This window comes from Homo sapiens, chromosome 11 (assembly GCF_000001405.40).
Source record: "Homo sapiens chromosome 11, GRCh38.p14 Primary Assembly".
In the NCBI taxonomy this organism is placed as follows: Eukaryota; Metazoa; Chordata; class Mammalia; order Primates; family Hominidae; genus Homo; species Homo sapiens.
The window spans coordinates 116,335,662-116,355,948 of record NC_000011.10 but is presented as its reverse complement, the minus strand read 5'-3'; the positions used below and the strand labels follow the sequence as shown (position 1 = coordinate 116,355,948).

The 20,287-nt window shown below is 47.9% G+C and overlaps 1 long non-coding RNA gene across 1 annotated transcript in view, besides 1 other annotated feature; it reads left to right on the top strand.

The window, feature by feature from the left end:
• The window catches only part of LOC107987166 (uncharacterized), a 160,015-nt gene that overhangs the window by 118,277 nt on the left and 21,451 nt on the right, over positions 1 to 20,287 (top strand). The gene's annotated exons all lie outside the window — the stretch shown is intronic.
• Positions 13,543 to 13,837: an enhancer, noted in NCBI's record as "tiled region #3214; HepG2 Activating DNase matched - State 8:EnhW". NCBI's record gives its function as "activates a minimal TATA promoter and a strong SV40 promoter by Sharpr-MPRA in HepG2 cells {active_cell/tissue: HepG2}" and the evidence as "EXISTENCE:reporter gene assay evidence [ECO:0000049][PMID:27701403]".

Sequence of the window (20,287 nt, the reverse complement as noted above, 5' to 3'; positions counted from 1 at the left end):
GGGAGATGAATGGTGAGCATCCTGCTATTGTGGAAGAAATAGAGGGACAAGGAGGGGTAGGGGGAGATCAGGTTGGGCCAGGTTGTGGAAGGCTCACTTGCTCTGTAGGCAACTGGGATCCCCTTATCAGTTTTGGTGGAGCATCTCTGAGATGGCTGGGTCCCTGCTGGGTGCACAGCATGATGCTGCGAAGGGATAGAATTAGATACGGGAATCTGGGCTTGGCCCTTTGGCCATGGCTTTGCTGGACATATGACCCCTGTCGTCCTTCTGGATGTTTAGTAGAAGGGCGCACTGTGGTGAGATTGATCCTCAGAGCGCACACCTGTGCCCTCTAGAATGGGCTCAAAATGGGCCCACACGTGCCCTCCCAGGCACAGTGGTGGAGCAGCAGATGGAGCCGAGGCCAGCAGCGTGATCTTGGCTAACCCCCACCTCTCTGAGTCTGGCTATCATCTTTGCAATGTGGTCGATATTACCTTTCTTGCAAACATGAGATAATGTATATAAAAGTGCTTTGAAAGCTATAAAGCATTATACAGATGCAAAGTATTATCTTTTTTTCCCTTTCCTTTTATTATCTTCTCATCTATTCTCAGCCTGCCCTGTAATTGAGCCAGGACCAAAGACCTATCTCCTACCATATCACAGTGGATCTGCTGTGGAGGGCAGACTGGACATGTCAATGTTTCAGAAATTCCAGGAAGCAGAAGCCAGAGAGGTCAGGGAGCCTGGACTTGGTCAGGCAGCAGGGAGCAGTGTGGCTGAGTTTGCCCAAGGAAAAGATGCTAGAGGGGGATGACAACATTTTTTCATTGTCATCCTTGATGTTTATCATTGCTATTGTCGTCATCACCATCATCATCTTGATGGCATCTTCATAATTCCCTGGACCTAAAATGCCCTGTACCCATCTTCTCCTTTTGAATCCTTTATTTCTCAATTTTTTTAAAAGATGGAATCTCACTCCGTCACCCAGGCTGGAGTGTAGTGGTGCAATCTCAGCTCACTGCAACCTCTGCCTCCTAGGTTCGAGCTATTCTTGTGCCTCAGCCTCCCAAGTAGCTGGGACTACAGGCATGTGCCACCATGCCCGGCTAATTTTTGCATTTTGAGTAGAGACGGGGTTTTGCCATGTTGGCCAGGCTGGTCTTGAACTCTTGGCCTCAAGTAATCCACCCGTCTCAGTCTCCCAAAGTGCTGGGATTACAGGTGTGAGCCATCGCGCCGGCTCTATTTCTTAATTTTTAATGGCCTCTTCTGGGAAGTGTTTCTCAGTTTCCCTAGGTGGCAGTGGTCTCATCTCCCATAGCACTTGTTGGCCATTTTTTTTTATGGTGCTTTTTCTTTGTGCTCTGTATTTCAGTCATCTGTGGACATTTCCTTTCTTTCCTGTTGGATTTAAGCCCCTCAAGGGAAAGGACCAGGCCTTCTGGACTTTTGTGTACTCCTGAATGTCCCCCCAAATGCTGAAGGGATTAAGAACTTATCTGTCTTCAGAAGCATCAGTGAGACCAGAGTGCTAGGCTGGGTGCTGAGGCATGTCCTGTAGGACATATTTTCTAAGGCAGCCTCATGCTCACTCTGTTCTGCAAAATGTATGTCCTGCTGAGTTCAAGTCCATGGGCAGTGGACTGGCAAGTCCAGGTCTTCCCTGTCAGTTGTTCCTGTGCTTCTGCCCTGAGCCTTGGGCTGTGTCTGGGTTCCTTGGTGCCCGATCCAGTTCATTCCCTCTGCAGGACTGGGAAGTAAGGGCTGTCTGGACACTTGGGCAAGGGAGAGAAAGGAGGCAGGAGAGGATGGAAGGATGGGGATGGGGAGGAGACTGAGGCCCTGACAGAGCAAAGGCCCCTGCTTTGCTCTGAGGAGTCCCCAGATTCCACCAAACCCAGAGATGTAAAGGAGTCATTCTTCCAGCCTTCTTGTTCCTGGCCCTTGGAGCCCCCTGAGCTCCTTCTTTGTTCTAGTGAAATAATGGCTTGTCAGGGAGACACGATTATTACTAATTACTAGATTGCTTTGTGCCTGTTGTTCTCAGACAGGCGAGGCGGGGCCTGACTCTGGAGGCACCTCTGGGTGACCTCTCCTGGAGAGGGAGAAGCCAGCACAAGGAGAGTGAAGGAGCAAGGAAGAGGGGCCGTGGTGCTCTTGTAACTCCTTGTTTATAGCCGGTGGCCTTTCAGGATGATGGCTAGGGAGTCCAGGTTGGGGGCGATGACTCACATTCACACACAAAGACAGCACATGCTGACAAGTACAGGCACCCAGGAAATCATTCACACACACTCCCATTAAAACACCTGTGTGTGTAGCTGTTACATGCTCAGCGATGCACACACACAAGTGCAGTTTCTCAGCAAGCAGTGTACACAAACAGTAACCCACAGATGGACAGACACCTCAGGCCTGGCTAAAATGGTCGGATATGCACAGATACCCCCTGTGTACAGGTATGTGCAAATGTATAGTGATTTGGGGGTGATCACTGTATTTCTCTTCCCACCAATTTCTGAACCAAGTGAAAAATAGACACAACAGGCAGACAGGGATCAAGATATTCCTCTATCTCATCACTTTTTTATGACATATATATTTTCACATTTCTGAAATTGGGGTTTGTTTTACAATCAGCAGCTTGTGGCTTATAAAATGCACTCCAATTAGATTTGTCAGCATGCTAGCTTTATCATTAACGAACTTGATTTAAAGACATAAAGCTCCCATGGACTTCCTACCCTTGCCTTCTGCTTAGAGGTTGCCCAGAGTTGCAAGCCAAGAATCCAGACACCTGCAGGCCTCCTTGCTCTCGGGCAGAGCCTGCTGTGGCCAGCTTACCTGTGGCTGAGGAGGAGAGAACATGAGCACTGTACCACTGATGCCAGCCGTGCAGGTGCCATGACCCTGTCTTTTCCCAGCCTTACCAATTAGGTAAGGAGAGAGCCAGGGAAAGGAGGCAGATGGAGAAGAGGGCAGAGGATTTCTCCCTACCTTATACAAGCCAGGGCAGGGACACAGGAAATGGTTTATATCTGGGTACTGGCGAATGGACAAAAAATATGTACAAAGACATTTACACACAATTTGCATATTTATGTGTATATTACCCAAAAGGACCAGGTGAGCAAGGATTAAACAGTTAGACCTATGTAGTGTAGACAGTCAAGCATGTGCCTGGAGACACAGGAAATGGATACAAGAAGCCTCACACATATACACACATATACAGATACACTTGTATCCAGGTGCCCATACTATGTAAAAACTCACCTCCTGGATGCTGGCCAGCATTATCCTGCAGGGAGTGATGAGCCACTTGACAACAGAAGAAAGAGTGCACAGATCTATCCTGGGGCCACTTTATGGAGTTTCCTAAGCCAGAGGATTGCGGTGGGCTTCATGTTGGCAGAGTGATCAGCATCTAGCCTATCACTAAGGCTGTTTCTTACAGCTCACAGCATGTTGCCAGTCTGCGCCTTCTAGCATGGTGCTGGCCTTCTGGGGGACCCCTGGACAGATTTGCCTGTCCTCTATGGTCCCAAGGCTTGAAAGATAGCCCTGCCTCATCCCTTCCTTCCTAAATCCCCCTTAAAACCTGGCCTCTGCAGTCTGCCCTGGCAGGAAGGGACGGCAAGCCATCTGGCTCACATCATCATCCAGTTGAGGAACCAAGTTGGCTTTAAGGGAAGCTCTGGTGCCATCTTTATTCTAACTCCTCAGACCCTGCCTATCTGCATAGATGGCACCATTAAGTCACTCACACATTTATTGCTGTCTATGTGCTTTCCTGTCATTTCTGGACTGCGTTTGCCCACTTCTCCTTAGACTGGAAGCACCCCAGGGACAGGGGCCACATCTCTTAATTTAATTGTCAACATTTATCAGTCAGTTCAGAACTGGCATTTAGAGGCCTCCTAGTCCCGCCCCCATATTTTACTGATGAGGATAATGAAGCCCAAAGAGAGGAAATGATTTGCCTAGGGTTGACATAACTGACCAGGGGTGAGGACTAGCTTCCCACTTCCCATTTGTGTGCATCCTGGGATTATGTGGTTAACTGTGAGGCGTTCACCTGTGTGTGCTCTACGTATATGTGTGGATAGTCCCATGATCTTAGTCATGTATGGGTGGCTGCGTCCGTGTGTTCCCGTGTATGTATTCCTGGGTGGGTTTCTATCTGTGTATAACCATGAGAATGCTGTGAATTCTGTGTAAATGAGCTGATGTATCCATTTACATATACCTAATTGTGTATCCACCATGGGTCCTGGTGCAATATCCAAATGCCCCCGTGCGTATATAAGTGTGTATACCCATTCACAAACAACTGTATCTACAAGTCCACCCTTGTCTGCCCCAGGCAAGTATGTACTGACTGTGTACCCATCTATGTGCACTTATGTATGTATGTACATCCCTGTGTGTGCATTTACAATGTGTACCTGACTGTGGATATGTAAATGCCATGTAAATTCTCTGTGTGTTTGTGGTAACGGATGGGTTGTGTGTCTATTTCCATATAGCTCCAGCATTTCCTGCCTGCACTCAGTGTGCTCACCTTTGTGACTCTGGCAGAATGAGCCCTCCTACTCCATCCTTGTGGTCCCTGGGGGCAGTCCAGCTCCTGGTGCTGTCTGCCTTATTGGTCACTGGACCGGCAACCTGTGTCTTTCCACTCAAGGAAAGGTCACTTGGACCCCCGTGTGGGCTCGAATCATGTAACCTTTCATGTTTCCTCTCCTGTGGGGACTGTTCAATTTCCAGCCTCTCTGGGGCCCCATTTATATGATGTCAAGTTGGGAGTGAGACTGTGGCCTGGTGCAGTCTTCCTGAAGAAGTGTGACTCTGTGCCCAGAAGGTGGCTCGCTGGGTGGAACTTGGGTAACTCTTTCTTTCCCACAGTGCAGCCTGAACCTCAGCATTATGGTCAAAGGCTTCCAGAGACTATTAAATCCACCCCCCACTATTATAGGGGTGAAGGCACCGAGGCCCAGGAGGAAAGGGACTTAGAGATTACACATTTTGATGGTGAGAGAGCTTAGAGTGGACGTGGCACTCTTGGACTCTCAACCCAGTTCTTTTTCCCTCATTTACGTTGGGCTTCCTGGGGCAGATGGCTTACTGTCTAGCAAGACTGAGGTTTCGCTTCTACAGTATGAATCCCCAGGATAGGGGCTTCCATCATTCCTTGCACCTACGTGGGCCATGTGACTGAGCTCTGAACATAGAATGTTGAGGATGTGGGAGGAGGTGGTTGACCTATACCAGTTCCAGGCCTTGTTCATGATGCCCTTCTGGGCATGGATTCCCTGCCTTCCCCTACTTGCTGGCTGGAAGTTAGTGCCCAGGGTGGTCATGGGGTAACCACATGTTGATGGCAGCAAAGTTTTATCAGTCTGGGTTCTTAATTGACTCCTTGAAGCATAGCACTTTCCTATGAGAGGAAGAAATAAAACTTCCATTGGGTAGAACCACTGAGATTTTGCGTTTATTTGTGTCAGCAGCTAGCATTATCTTAATTAATACACTGCCTCTTTCTTTGTCAGGAAATGACTCTCATGAAAAAACTCCCAAGTCCCTTCTCGCTGACCTTGTCTTCAAACACAGGGTGCCCAAGACTGGGGTCCCTCTTGATCCCCAGGAGCATCTCAACCCTAGTGGGAAAGCCTGAGTCGTCATGGCGACTATTCCTGCAGTGTAGAATAAAATTAATGGATGTGCTCATTACAGCAATTCTGGCTGTCCTTTTAGCAAATTTCACTCCTCAGAAGGATCACTGGCTTTTACTCACAATGCCTGAGAATCATCATTTAAGACCGTGGATAGAGACAGCTTTCCCTGCACATATCATCTCTTCAGGCCAATGGCTTTGTCCCTTGGAGGATTGATCTATGTGACATTTGCTGACCAGGAGCTCATATTTGACTTCTCTCATCAAACTCCCTCCCACCTTGGAACCCTTTCCTCTTCCCAAATGGTCCTGATAAGAGGTCTTCCAGACCCCAGCCCCATGAGCTGCAGCAGGGAGTAGATTCTGTTGCTGCAACCTGGGTTAGGGCTAATGATCTCATTAATTGCTTCCGAGGATTTCCCCCAAGGTAAGCCCTCTAATGTATCTATGACATTCTTGGAATTTCAGCTCTTCCAGAAGCAGAAGTGGGGTAGAGCCTATGAAACAACATGGTAATATGAGGAGGCCATGGGTCAGAAGGTCACCAAGATCTATTCAGTTAACAGAAGTCCTAAGCCACCAAGTAAGCTACATGCATGCATAGAAGGCATGCTACGCTTCTGCTCAAACACCTTTCATGACTCCCTATTGTGAGGGCCAGAGTCTTAACTCTGTAGCTTATCATTCAGGATGTTCACAACCAGGCTCCATTGTATCCCTTGCCATTCTCCCAATACGACCCCTCATGACGCACCTGGGACCATTGCAGCTCCTCAATATGCTTGACTTTTTATACCTGGGTTTCTTTGTTTATGCTTTTCCCTTTGCCTGGAATACCCCCTCTTCTTGGCTTGTTAGTTTTCTCTTTATATTTTTAGACGTGGCTTGTTGTCACTTCTGTGACATCTTTCCTGACTTTCACCCCAGCCTCAACCAGAGTTAGCAACTCCCTCATTTAGATCATGCCCCATCATAGAGAACTTACACATGTTTAGAGTTGGCAGCTGTCTAGACTTAGATGGATGCCTGAGGTCAGGGAGCAAGTCTTAGCTACCATTGTGCCCCCAGCATTCAGCTCAGTGTTTGGCATTTAGTATGCATGTTCCCGTGAATACTGCCTGAGTGGTGGTGGCTCCTGCCAGTGCATTATGGTGGGGACAAAGGCTGCTCCAATGGGGCTTTGTCTGGGACAAAAGGACCTTTCCCTTTGCAAATATTCCCCCACACCCCTTGACTCCTTGGCCCCTTGGACCCAGCCTTCCCTGGTTTCAAGGTTTTCACCAGACCAGCTCTTTAGGATGGAGAAGGCTGAGAGGATTGAGAACAGGAATACTTTTCTTCTTCTCTTTTTAGCCAACAGCTAGAGGGAGTCAGGAATTTCAGAGTGAGGGGAAACTAGAGGTCTGAGGTGACTCAGTCCCAGAGAAGCAGCTGATGAACATCAAATACATGATGGCGGACAAGAGGTGGGGGGACAAGAGGTGGAATCAGTGAGTGGAATTTGTGTTTCATCAATTCTACATTGGTTCACATTTTAGCGTCCCTGAAGTCGAAATGCATCTTACTATCAATGCCATCTCACAGTTTATTTGACAACACGCATTTCTTTCTTAGTGATACATAGCATGATGGTGCATTTTACAAATGATGGCACCTTATATTTCATGAAAGAGGTTGCCACCTGTTAGCAAAGGTTGGGTCTCACACATGGATGACTGAATAAAGTCAACACTAGAGTCAGATTTGAATGTTAGGAAGAGGAAGAGGCAGGGCCAGGACAAGGGTGAGGCAGGCAAGATGTCTAAAAGAGGAAACAGGAAGCAGGGGCTTAGTTGTTGCATCCCTGCAGCTGTGTTGCTGTTAGAAGGAGGAGGAGAGCTTCCCTCTTCCTCTGTGGGTGCCCCCTAGGAAGTGAAACTTCAGAGGGGGGTGGATTATCTTCCCAAGGTCCGTCTTCAGTCTCTCAAATTCTAGGACTCATCTCCTTTACACATCTCTTCCCAAAGACCCACTGTGGGTGAAAAAAATAAGGAAGGAAAGTAGGTGAAGGGGAGTTTATTCCTGGACCAAGTGGATAGATAGCTGATGGCTCCATAATAACGTGAAAGTCAAGTACAAATCATTGATTCCCAACCCTGGCTGAAAATTTGCATTACCTGGGGACTTTCTTTCTTTCTTTTTTTTTTTTTAAGTGCGTCCTTCCTGTAACTTCTTTTTTTTTTTTTTTTTTTTTAAATTGATCATTCTTGGGTGTTTCTCGCAGAGGGGGATTTGGCAGGGTCATAGGACAATAGTGGAGGGAAGGTCAGCAGATAAACAAGTGAACAAAGGTCTCTGGTTTTCCTAGGCAGAGGACCCTGGGGCCTTCCGCAGTGTTTGTGTCCCTGGGTACTTGAGATTAGGGAGTGGTGATGACTCTTAACCAGCATGCTGCCTTCAAGCATCTGTTTAACAAAGCACATCTTGCACCGCCCTTAATCCATTTAACCCTGAGTGGACACAGCACATGTTTCAGAGAGCACCGGGTTGGGGGTAAGGTCATAGATCAACAGCATCCCAAGGCAGAAGAATTTTTCTTAGTACAGAACAAAATGGAGTCTCCTATGTCTACTTCTTTCTACACAGACACAGAGACAATCTGATTTCTCTATCTTTTCCCCACATTTCCCCCTTTTCTATTCGACAAAACCGCCATCGTCATCATGGCCCGTTCTCAATGAGCTGTTGGGTATACCTCCCAGACGGGGTGGCGGCCGGGCAGAGGGGCTCCTCACTTCCCAGAAGGGGCGGCCGGGCAGAGGTGCCCCCCACCTCCCGGATGGGGCGGCGGCCGGGCGGAGGCTGCCCCCCACCTCCCTCCCGGATGGGGCGGCTGCCGGGTGGGGGGGCTGACCCCCCACCTCCCTCCCGGACGGGGCGGCTGGCCGGGCGGGGGCTGCTCCCCCACCTCCCAGACGGGGTGGCTGCCGGGCAGAGACGCTCCTCACTTCCCAGATGGGGCGGCTGCTGGGCGGAGGGGCTCCTCACTTCCCAGACGGGGCGGCTGCCGGGCGGAGGGGCTCCTCACTTCCCAGACGGGGCGGCTGCCGGGCGGAGGGGCTCCTCACTTCTCAGACGGGGCGGCTGCCGGGCGGAGGGGCTCCTCACTTCTCAGACGGGGCGGCTGCCCGGGCGGAGACGCTCCTCACCTCCCAGACAGGGTCGCGGATGGGCAGAGGCGCTCCTCACATCCCAGACGGGGCGGCGGGGCAGAGGCGCTCCCCACATCTCAGACGATGGGCGGCAGGACAGAGACGCTCCTCACTTCCCAGACGGGATGGCGGCCGGGAAGAGGTGCGGGATGGCGGCCGGGAAGAGGTGCTCCTCACTTCCCAGACTGGGCAGCCGGGCAGAGGGGCTCCTCACATCCCAGACGATGGGCGGCCAGGCAGAGACGCTCCTCACTTCCCAGACGGGGTGGCGGCTGGGCAGAGGCTGCAATCTCGGCCCTTTGGGAGGCCAAGGCAGGCGGCTGGGAGGTGGAGGTTGTAGTGAGCCGAGATCACGCCACTGCACTCCAGCCTGGGCAACATTGAGCACTGAGTGAACGAGACTCCATCTGCAATCCCCGCACCTTGGGAGGCCGAGGCTGGCAGATCACTCGCGGTTAGGAGCTGGAGACCAGCCCGGCCAACACAGCGAAACCCCGTCTCCACCAAAAAAATACGAAAACCAGTCAGGCATGGCGGCGCGCGCCTGCAATCGCAGGCACTCGGCAGGTTGAGGCAGGAGAATCAGGCAGTGAGGTTGCAGTGAGCAGAGATGGCGGCAGTACAGTCCAGCTTCGGCTCAGCATCAGAGGGAGACCGTGGAAAGAGAGGGAGAGGGAGACCGTGGGGAGAGGGAGAGGGAGAGGGACCGGGACCAGGACCTGGGGACTTTCAAAGATCCTTTACTCAAGTCTCAACCCAGAACAATGGAATCACTATTTTTCATCTAGGCTTGAGAATCACTGGCCAAAAGTATTTCTTAAATATTTAATAACTAAGGATTGCTTTCAAAATGCAAATTGTATTGTGAATCCCTCAACTGGAGACATAACGCAGCTTACATTTGAGTAGCCCTTTCGGTTTGCAAAGCACTTACATGGTATGATTATATCTGATCCTCTGTGGTGGATAGGCAAGTTGTTATCATCACTTCATTTTATAGAGGAGGATCTAGGGTAAGAGGTCAGGAAACCTTGAAAAGGGAGATGACGTTTAAGCCCTGAGTGATGGAGAAGATCCTACACTCAGCCAGTTGTCCAGGGGATTAAAGGAGCAGGGCTGGGAAAAGCTAGTGGTTGGTGTTTGGTAAAAGAGAGGCGAGAGGAAACAGTACCAGGCAAGAAAAGGGACAGGAGGCAGGAGGGTAGATGATGGCAGAACTCATGTGCAAGGAAGGGGACAGAGCCTGCTAGAATAAATTGCTCAATAATAAGCTAGAAAATATCCAAGTGATTTCAGCGGATAGGAAGCCATTTTCAGAGTCAGCTGAGGGGCCTGGCTTTTGTCAAGGGCTGCAAAGATGGGACAGAGAAATGTCAAGTTTTTTTCTAGCAAATCCATGTTGGTGAGAAAGGTGAAGTCAAGACTGGAAGCCAGAAGGAATACACTGGGATTCCAAACTGGAAGGACCTGGCTTTTCCAGGGACCTAGAGGAGTGAGAAGTAGCAGTAGGATGAGAGAGAAGAGGGGAGAAGCCCCAGGACCACAGGCAGGGTGTGCAGTGAGAGGGAGCAAAGCTTAGCAAAGCCCTCTGAGGAACGGGCTGCTGGGCCAGGGCAGCATTCAGCTGGGCATCCTTGGTCATCAGAAGCCCCTGTTCTTTATCTGGCCCCAGACTCAGCTGCACAGTTGCTCTTCAGGGGAAGAGGGAGGAACAGTAGAGGGGTACCTAGGCTGGAGTGTGGTCTCTCCAACTGGGAGGTGGAAGCAACAGAGAAACTGTCCCAACCAGCCCATATGATGGGGTCATGTCCCAGGGGTCTATGCCTCTTCACAGAGTACACAGACTGATATGTGCTGTGGCAGCAACAAGCAGATCACTAGTTCCTTGGTGCAATAATAGGGTCGTCTTGCAAGGCAGCTCCCAGGCCAGGTGTGGGTCCCCGACAGCAGGTATTCGCCGCAGCACGTCCTTGCTCCACTGCCTTCCTGTCTTTGCTTCTTTTTAACAAATTCTGAATTATAATGAAAAATTTCCTTGGATGTAGTGTATGCCTGACAATCAAATCACTACGAAATCAATTCTTTGCAATCAATGTTTGTCTAATGAATTTTGCATTTCTAATGGCAGGACCTGACACTATCTGTTTATTTTCTCTTTTGCCCTTGGCTCCCTCCCCTGCCTCCTTGTTTTAAGCAAACTTTACCTGGGGCTGCAGGAGCCGAATGGCAGGTCTGTGGCAGTTTTTCTCGTTCAGCCTCTCCTTAATTTCTCCTCGCCCTTTTCCTCGGCATGCCTCACTGGGAAACTTAATGGGGTGTTTCTGGAGTAATTAGAATGATTTAAATAGCCCTGCTAACAAAGTTTGTCAGGAAAATCCCCACAACCTACCAGGGCTCACCCCATACATCTGTTATATCCTGGCCAGGGAAGGAGTGGAAAAGATGCTGGGAAAATGGAGGGGACCAGTCCCGTCTCCACCCCATCCCACTCCCCACACCCTCCCGCACCTCCCACACCTCCCGGAGCACACAGTGGTTTAGACACAAAATCCTTTTTCATTTCAGACATTCTGCAGGCTTTCTGGGCAAAATAACACATCCATTAAATAAAATAAACATTGTAGGGGAGGCGGGAAAACGACTCCCAGACCAAGGCTGGTTCCTAAAGCCCAGACTCCCGCATGAATGAATGAAGACCATAAGGACTTGCAAACTAGTGTACTGGAGGTGTGACTTGTGCAGGCTATGAGTTACACGTTTAGACTCATTTTGGCAGGCAGAATAATATCAACCCTTTTGTCTCTCTTCTGAACCTGTGAGCACAATGAACGGATTATCTGGTTGGGCTCAATGTAATTACAAGGGTCCTTAAAAAAGGAAGAAGAAGGTAGAAGAGGTCAGAGAGGTTCTATGCAAAAGGGACTCAGCCAGCATTGCTTACTCTGAAGATGGAGGAAGGAGCCATGAGCCAAGAGATGCAGGCAGCCTCTGGAAGCAGGAAAAGGTAAGGAAATAGGTTCTTTCCTGGAGTCTCTGGAAGGGAACAAAGCCCTACCAACACCTTGATTTTAGCCAGTAAGACCTGCGTCAGACTTCTGACCTCCGTAACTGTAAGATAATACATTTGTGGCTGGGGGGCGGTGGCTCATGCCTGTAATCCCAGCAGTTTGGGAGGCCGAGGCAGGTGGATCACCTGAGGTCAGGAGTTCCAGATCAGCCTGACCAACATGGTGAAACCCCGTCTCTACTAAAAATTACAAAAATTAGCCATGGCAGCGGGTGCCTGTAATTCCAGCTACTCTGGAGGCTAAGGCAGGAGGATTGCTTGAACCTGGGAGGTGGAGGTTGCGGTGAACCGAGATAGCACCACTGTACTCCAGCCTGGGCAACAAGAGTGAAACTCCATCTCAAGAAAAAAAAAAAAAAAAGGTAATACATTTGTGTTGTTCCAAGCTACTAAGTTTGTGGTGATTTGTTTTAGCAACAACAGGAAATGAATGCAGAAATACCTATGTTTCTCAGATATCCTGCATCTGGCTGACGTGGTTGAGGGAAGGCTGAGGCACATGGTAATAGAGTCTAATAGACCATGAGAAGCACTGTATTTAATTAAGATATGTGTAAAACATGGTGAGAGCCCCCAAAAGGGACCTGGCAGGTGTGGGGAACATCTGAGCAACTCACTGACTAAGTCCTTCATTCACAGGTCTTTGAGGCAGCCAAGCCAGTCCCCTCCTTCTGGCCCATCACCGCCTTGGGGCAGGGCAAGTTTCTTCTCTCCACGCACCTCCCTTGCTTCTGCCCTCCACTCCCACCCCAGTTACGAGCACAGGATTTGCAGCGCGTCAGGCTGCTGTTTGAATCCTGGCTCTAGCCTTATCAGCCAGGTGATAAGGGCAATTTGCTTAATCATTTGGAGCCTCATTTCTCCATCTTTAAAGGGTATATAGTGACTAAAATCTGGAGACTGTTGTGAAGATGCTGCATGTCAAGAGCTCAGTATGTGGCCGGGAGCAAAAGCTTGATAAATATGTGTGTGAACACCCTGTCAATGATGGCAGCAAGCCCTAAGGTTTCTCACAAGACACCTCTCCTACTTCCTACTTCATTGAGAAAATGGAGACAGTCAAAGGAGGACTTCCACAAACTTCTACCACTGCATCTACCAACTACCAGCATCTGCCCATTCATGCTCTGCCTTTCCCGCATGATACTGTGGATGAACTGTCTGTGCTGCTCTCCAAAGCCAACTCCTCCACCAGGGTGTGCATTCCTCCCCCTCTCACCTCCTGCGGTTCTTTCCTCTCGTACATATCATCAACTTTTAGCACTATATTGGACCATTTCAGTCTGCATATAAACGTATTGCTATTATGCTCCAATGGGAAGAAAATCCTTCTCTTGATCCCATTTCTCTTTTAATCTCCTGCCATATCTTTGCTTCTTACTACGGAAAAGTCCTCAAAAGAGTTGGCACCAGCCAATAAGGCCTTCTCCCCACCACCATGCTGAAACCGTTCTTGTCAAGGTAACCAGTGACTCCCTCATGGCTAGATCTCGTGGACAGTATTCAGCCTGCATCTTGCTTGACCTATCAGCAATGTTTTGATTCAGGTGGTGCCACTCGCTCTCCCAGATGATCTGCCCAGACGATTCTCCCTCACCTCCTTTGCTTTCTCATCTCTTTTGCTAGGCCTCCTAATGGTGGCTTTGTTCATCTTCTCTATATGATCTCACTTAGTCTTGCGACTTGAAATATCAGCTGTATACTGATGACCTCAATGTTTACCTCTCTCCTGAACTTCAGACTCGCATATCCAATAGCTTCGGTAAGCCTTCTCTGACCTATTTAGAAGTGCACAACCTTCTTGCATTTGCCTGAATTCTGGTAGACTTCTCAGGCTCAACCTGCCCCAAACAGAACCGCTGACCCCCTCCCTCAACCCATTCCAAATCTGCTCTACCTATGGCCTTTTCTGTCTCTGCTGATGACAACTCCAACCTTCTAGTTGCTCCTTAGGCCAAAAAATGTAGTCATCTTTTTCTCCTTTCTCTCACACACTTCAGTTTACCAGGAAATACTCTACTTTTGGCTCTACGTTAAAATATATATATATATATATATGGAATCTGACCATTTCTCATGCTTCCACTGCTCCCACTGTGGTTGGAGCCACCTTCATCTCACACCTGAGTCACTGTAGTACCCTCTTAATAGGTCTTTCTGATTCTACTATTCCTCTCATTCCCATTTGTATTAGTCTGTTCTCACGTTGCTAATAAAGACATACCTGAGACTGGGTAATTTATAAGGAAAGAGGTTTAATTGATTCACAGTTCCACATGGCTGCGGAGGCCTCACAATCATGACGGAAGGCAAGGAGGGACAAAGTCACATCTTACATGATGGCAGGCAAGAGAAAGTTTGTGCAGGGGAACCCACATTTATAAAACCATCAGATCTCATGAGACTTATTCACTACCATGAGAACAGTATGAGGGAATCTGCCCCCATGATTCAACTATCTCTGTCTGGTTCTGCCCTTGACATGTGGGGATTATTACAATTCAAGGTAAGATTTGGGTGGGGACTCAGCCAAACCATATCACCGTTATAACAACCACAAGGATCTTTTTAAAGCCTAAGAAAGATTACGTCACTCCCCTGCTCAAAACTCTGCAGTGGCTCCCTATTCCCCTTGGAGTGAAAGCTGAAGCCCTCCCTCCTCCCTGCTTTTACCTTATATGCTACTATCCTCACTGTGGCTCACTCTGCTTTAGCATCAATGACCTTCTTGCTGCTCCCAGATGAGGTTCTGCCCTGGGGCCTTTGTTCTAGCTATTTCCTTGGCTGAAAAACTCTTTTTCAAGGTATCTTATTGGCATACTCACATTTCCTTAAAGTCTTTGTTCAGGTCTCACTTTTTTTTCTTTTTTTCTTTTTTTTTTTTTTGAGACAGTCTCACACTCTGTTGCCCAGGCTGGAGTGCAATGGTGCAATCTTGACTCACTGCAACCTCCACCTCCCAAGTTTAAGCGATCCTCCTGCCTCAGCCTCCCAAGTAGCTGAGATTACAGGCACCCGCCATCATGCCCAGCTAATTTTTGTATTTTTGTAGAGATGGGGTTTCACTATGTTGGCCAAGCTGGTCTTGAACTCCTGACCTCAGGTGGTCTGCCTGCCTCAGCCTCCCAAAGTGCTGGCATTACAGGTGTGAGCCACTGCGCCCGGCCAAGTCTCACTTTCTTGATGAGACCACACTAACCGCTTACTTAAAATTGCAACCTGCCCCCCGCCCCGCGCTCCCCACCCTGCATTTGTAATCTACAATGTCCAGGTACTTAGTAATCCCTTGGACTTTTGAATAAATTTGCCAGAATGTCCCTCTCTGAGACTTCCACACAAGTTTTTTCCTCTTTATTTTTTGCCAGGGGTAGGAGATGGTGAGTGCTCACACAGTGTGGCTCTCAGTATTTTCTTCCTGCTGACTTTCTCCTCCTTGGATCCACAGGTACACCTGATTCAGGTACTCTATCTTCATTCAGGGTGTGTTCTTCCCCTAAGTGGGTGGTTGCTTCCTTAGAATTAGCAGGCAGTCTTGATAATGAACTACTTGAAAATCTTATAACTGGGCATCCGATGTCTGCCCCAAAGAAATAGTCATTGTCTCTCCTTTGATATGCACAGCTACATAGGTCTGCAGGATTCCAGTGCAAGGCTGGGTCCCTGATGGAAATTTTATCATTGTCATTATCTGTTTGCACCCATAACACACTGGGAGCTTCTTGTGTCCAGGGCTGCTGTCTTATTCTCAACGCCTAGCACAGGCTCAACATGTGGTTGGCCCACAATAAATGCTTGCAATGGAATAAAATCATGATGAACTGTCAACGAGGCTTTGACCTTCTGGTGAGTAGAATTTGGAAACTTGGTAAGACCTTCTTACTTCCAGGAGGTTAAATTTGTTAATCTACTCTTGAGAAGTTTCTTTTTTTTCACAAGGTGGAAATCCCCATCAGCACACCTTAATCCTAAGGCACACCCAGGGACAGTCTTAAAAGAGTGAGAAAAAGATGTACAAAAGAATAGAAGTGATCAGGCTCCTGGAAGGCATCCGGCAGTGGCGGGTAGCAATCAAGTGTGCTGTGAGAGGGAGCTCAAGGTCCTCCTGGGCAGGAGGAAGGCTGTGGCTGGAAAGGAACATATGATCTTATATAACTTTGCTGTCACCTCTCATGGCCTGTCCTATGCTTCAATCATAGTTGTCATCTTTGTGGGCACGAATGTTTTTGAGCATTTTACATGCATTTTTGCCTTTTCATCCTCACAATAATCTCAAATAGTATATGTTGTTACTATCTTTGTTTTAAAATGATGATTGAACATCTAGTATGTGCTGGGCTCTGTGCTGAGCATGTAACAGACACCACACCGTTGGATCCTCACAAGCACTTACGAGGAAGGTATTATTTCCACCTTACAGAATAGAGTGTTTGTTTTCTCTTGCTGCATAACACATTGTGAAACTTACTGGCTTTAAACAATGCTTGTTTATTATCTCACAGCTTCTACGGGTCAGAAGTCCAGGCATGATGTAGTTGGGTTCTTTGCTCAGAGTCTCACGAGCATGAAAGCAAGGTGTTAGCCAGAGCTGTGATCTCACTGAGGCTGAGGGTCCCTTCCTAAGCTCATCTGGGTTGTTTGCAGAATTCACTTTGCTGCGGTCGTCCCTATTTTCTGCTGACTGTTGGCTTGAGGTTGCTCTCAGAACTGAAGGCCACCCTCAGCTCCCAGCCCAGTGATTCCATCCATAGGCAACTCACTGTGGCTATTTGCTCCTCCTTGCTGAGGCACACGGGGTGGGGGTTGGGAGCATTCTCTGACCACCTTTTTGTTTTTTTTTCTTTTTTGGGATAATGAAACTTTTATTTCTTCATTTCTGATCATTATCAGAAATGATCAGATAGTAGCTAGGATTGCCAGTACAGCTTCTTAACCTTAATAGGAAAACTTTCAACATATTACCACTAAGTATAATATTTGCTGTAGACTTTAAAAATTATTTTATTTTAACTTCCGGGGCACATGTGCAGGATGTGCAGGTTTATTACATATGTAAACGTGTGCCATGGTGGTTTGCTGCACCTATCAACCCATCACCTAAGTATTATTAAGCCCATCACGCATTAGCTATTTTTCCTGATGCTCTCCCTCCCCCTTCCCTCAACCCACAGGCCCCAGTGTGTGTTGTTCCCCTCCCTGTGTCCATGTGTTCTCATTGTTCAGCTCCCGCTTATGAGTTAGAACATGTGGTGTTTGGTTTTCTGTTCCTGTGTTAGTTTGCGGAGGATAATGGCTTCCAGCTCCATCCATGTCCCTGCAAAGGACATAATCTTGTTCCTTTTCATTGCTGCATAGTATTCCATGGTGTATATGCACCACATTTTCTTCATCCAGCCTATCACTGATGGGCATTTGGGTTGATTCTGTGTCTTCGCTATTGTGAATACTGCTCAAATGAACATGTGCCTGCATGTATCTTTATAATAGAATGATTGATATTCCTTTCGATATATACCCAGTAATGGGATTGCTGGGCTCTGACCACCTTTTAATTTTTTTAAGTAAAAAAAATTTAAAATCATCTAGGTTTGCATAAATGGATGTGCAAATATAGTAATTGGGCAGTTTAGAAATTTTAAGTTTTATTTTATTTTAGATTCAGGGGTGCACGTGCAGGTTTGTTTACATGAATATATTGTGTGATACTGAGGTTTAGGCTTCAACTGAACTCGTCACCCAAATAGTGAACATAGTACCCAATAGACAGTTTTGCAATCCATGGCCCCCTTCCTACCTTCCCCCAAAGTGGAGTTCCCAGTATCTATTGGAGTCCCCAGTATCTATCGTTCCCATCCTTATGTCCATGTGTACCCAATGTTTAGCTCCTGCTAACAAGTGGGAATATGTGGTATTTAGTTTTTGATTTCTGCAAAAATTCACTTAGGATAATGACCTCCAGCTACATCCATCTTGCTGCAAAGAACATGATTTTGTTCTTTTTATGGCTATATAGTACTCCACAGTGTATATGTACCATATTTCCTTTATTCAATCCACCCTTATTGGGCATCTAGGTTGGTTCCATGTCTTTGCTATTGTGACTAGTGCTGTGATAAACATGTAAGTGCAGGTGTCTTTTTGGCAGTTTGATCTATTTTCCTTTGGGTAGATACCAAGTTATGGAGTTGCTGAGTCTGACTACCTTTTTAGAAAGAGCTCTCCTGATTAGGTCAGACCCACCCAAGACCACCTCCCTTTTGATTAACACAAAGTCAACTAATTGGTAATCTAATCATGTGAGTGATACTCCACACTCCAGGGGAGGGTATTGTGTAGGGAGGTACACTTGGAATGGAGAGCTTGGGAACCATCTTAGAACTATGCATACCACCCTAAGGCTCAGAGGACTTCAATGAGTTGCCTGAGAGAAACCCCATGGCCTGTAAGTGGCAGAGATAGAACTGAAATCCATCTCATAAGAGCCCATTGCAGTTGTGCTGCTGTAGGAGCAGTGGGTAGAAAGATTAATGGTAGAATTGAGATTCGGGGATGTAGACCTTGAAACCTTTCCCCTTTTGGTAGGTAACAGCAATGAAGAGATCTTCAATGGCCCCATAGGCAGGGCTTGATTGACCATAGAGGCATGCCTTAGGGGCCCAGAGAGGCTGTGTGCTTATCTTCGGCTATGTTCAATAGTATTGTAGAGGTTTAGCTTATAGGATCATAAGCTGTCAGGGTTTGCAAGGCACCCAGAGAATCAGCTAGTCCAGAGTTTCCAAATTATTCCATGGAAACTTTGTTCCAAAATGGCAATCATTATAAAAAGAAAAGAATTCATGGTGAAATAAGCTTGGAGAACCTTGGGTTAAACACAGTAGAAGATGTTGCTTCCCTGTAGGACTTTGGGTGCCTTTCAGGTATTAATATGCTTCATGAATCCATAAGAGGAGGAACGTATGTTGGACCTCAGAACACTTCCTTGTTGTGTGTAAATGAAGAGCCAAGGTTTGGGAGAGGATGCAGATACACTAGTCTAGGTAGTTATTGGTGACAGTTGGACTGTGTTATCTCTCAGGTCTGCTCTCACTCTCTGAGCCCCCAAGGGAGATTAGTGGTTTGGGATGAGAGTGGGGTGGGGTTCTGCTGGTGATGATGGCACACTGTTTCTTACCAAGGAACAGCAGATGGCCAGATGCTGGGGGCCTCAGGTTGAGGTGTGAATAATAGGCAGGCCTTTTCAAATACAGCCTGGAGTGGGGCTTGCAGCCTTAGGTGAGACCTGGGGCTGGCAGAGGGGAAGAGGAAGCTTGTCGCTGCTCTGTTACTGAATAAAGGGAAGGGAGCTGGCACCTGTTGGTTTGATGGGAAGACACCTGCTCAGAGATTACCAGGAGATAAATGGCTCCATGGAGGATTGGAATAGCAGACAACCCAGATGACCCAGCCAACATGAAATAGCCCAGGGACTGGATTTTCTTTTGTTTGTTTGGTTTGGTTTTATTTGTGTGGTCTTGTTTTTCCTGATCACGGGCTTCTAAGTTTCAGGGGAGTAATTGGATGAGGATTGGGAGGCATCTGATGCTCTGGGGCTCTACCTGGGCATTCCTGGGGAACTGTGGAGGAGCTTGTGGTGGGGAGGGACCTGAGCCATTGTCTGTCTCAGAGGTGCAGGGAGCAGTTTCCCACCCACAGGGGGAGAGGAGCTGCTGTGTTTCTGTTCCTTCCCAGAAGAGCCCTGGGAAAGAAAAAAGATGATCAATCTGAAAATTCAGCTCCATAAACAATGCCATAAAAATCACATCCATTTGCCAAGAAAGGCTCATGGCTAATGTGCCAAAACAAGGCTGTGCGCTCACAGCATCAAACCCCGATCGATCTTCTTAAGGGGGCCAGGAGGCTGCCTCCCAGGGAGGGTATATTCCAACTGCTGTCTGAAGAACTAGAGGGGCTGGCTCTGACCCTCACCAGTCTCTGTCCCCTTCCTTGCCTCTGCCTAGCTAACCATGAGTGGGATAACACTTTGATCAGAGAGGAGACTGCATAGGACTTGAGGCAGGGACATGAGGGCAGGGTGCCCTATGTGAGGTGAGGAAGGGGCAAGTAGTTGCAAAAAAATGCCCCATTTTGGGAGTCCAACAGACTTGGGCTCTAGTCTCACTTCTTTGGCTTCCTAGATCTGGGAATTTAGTCAAGTGGCTTACCCCTGTTAAAGTTTCCCCTTCTGTAAGCTCTACAGTTTGGCCTGTCTGCCTCATTGGGCTGGGGGAGAGTTAACCCAAGGATGTGAGGTTTCTTGGTAAACTGTGTTTGAACAGGAAGAGGCATTTGAGAGCGACCAGCACAGGCCTTCATTTATGGATATGG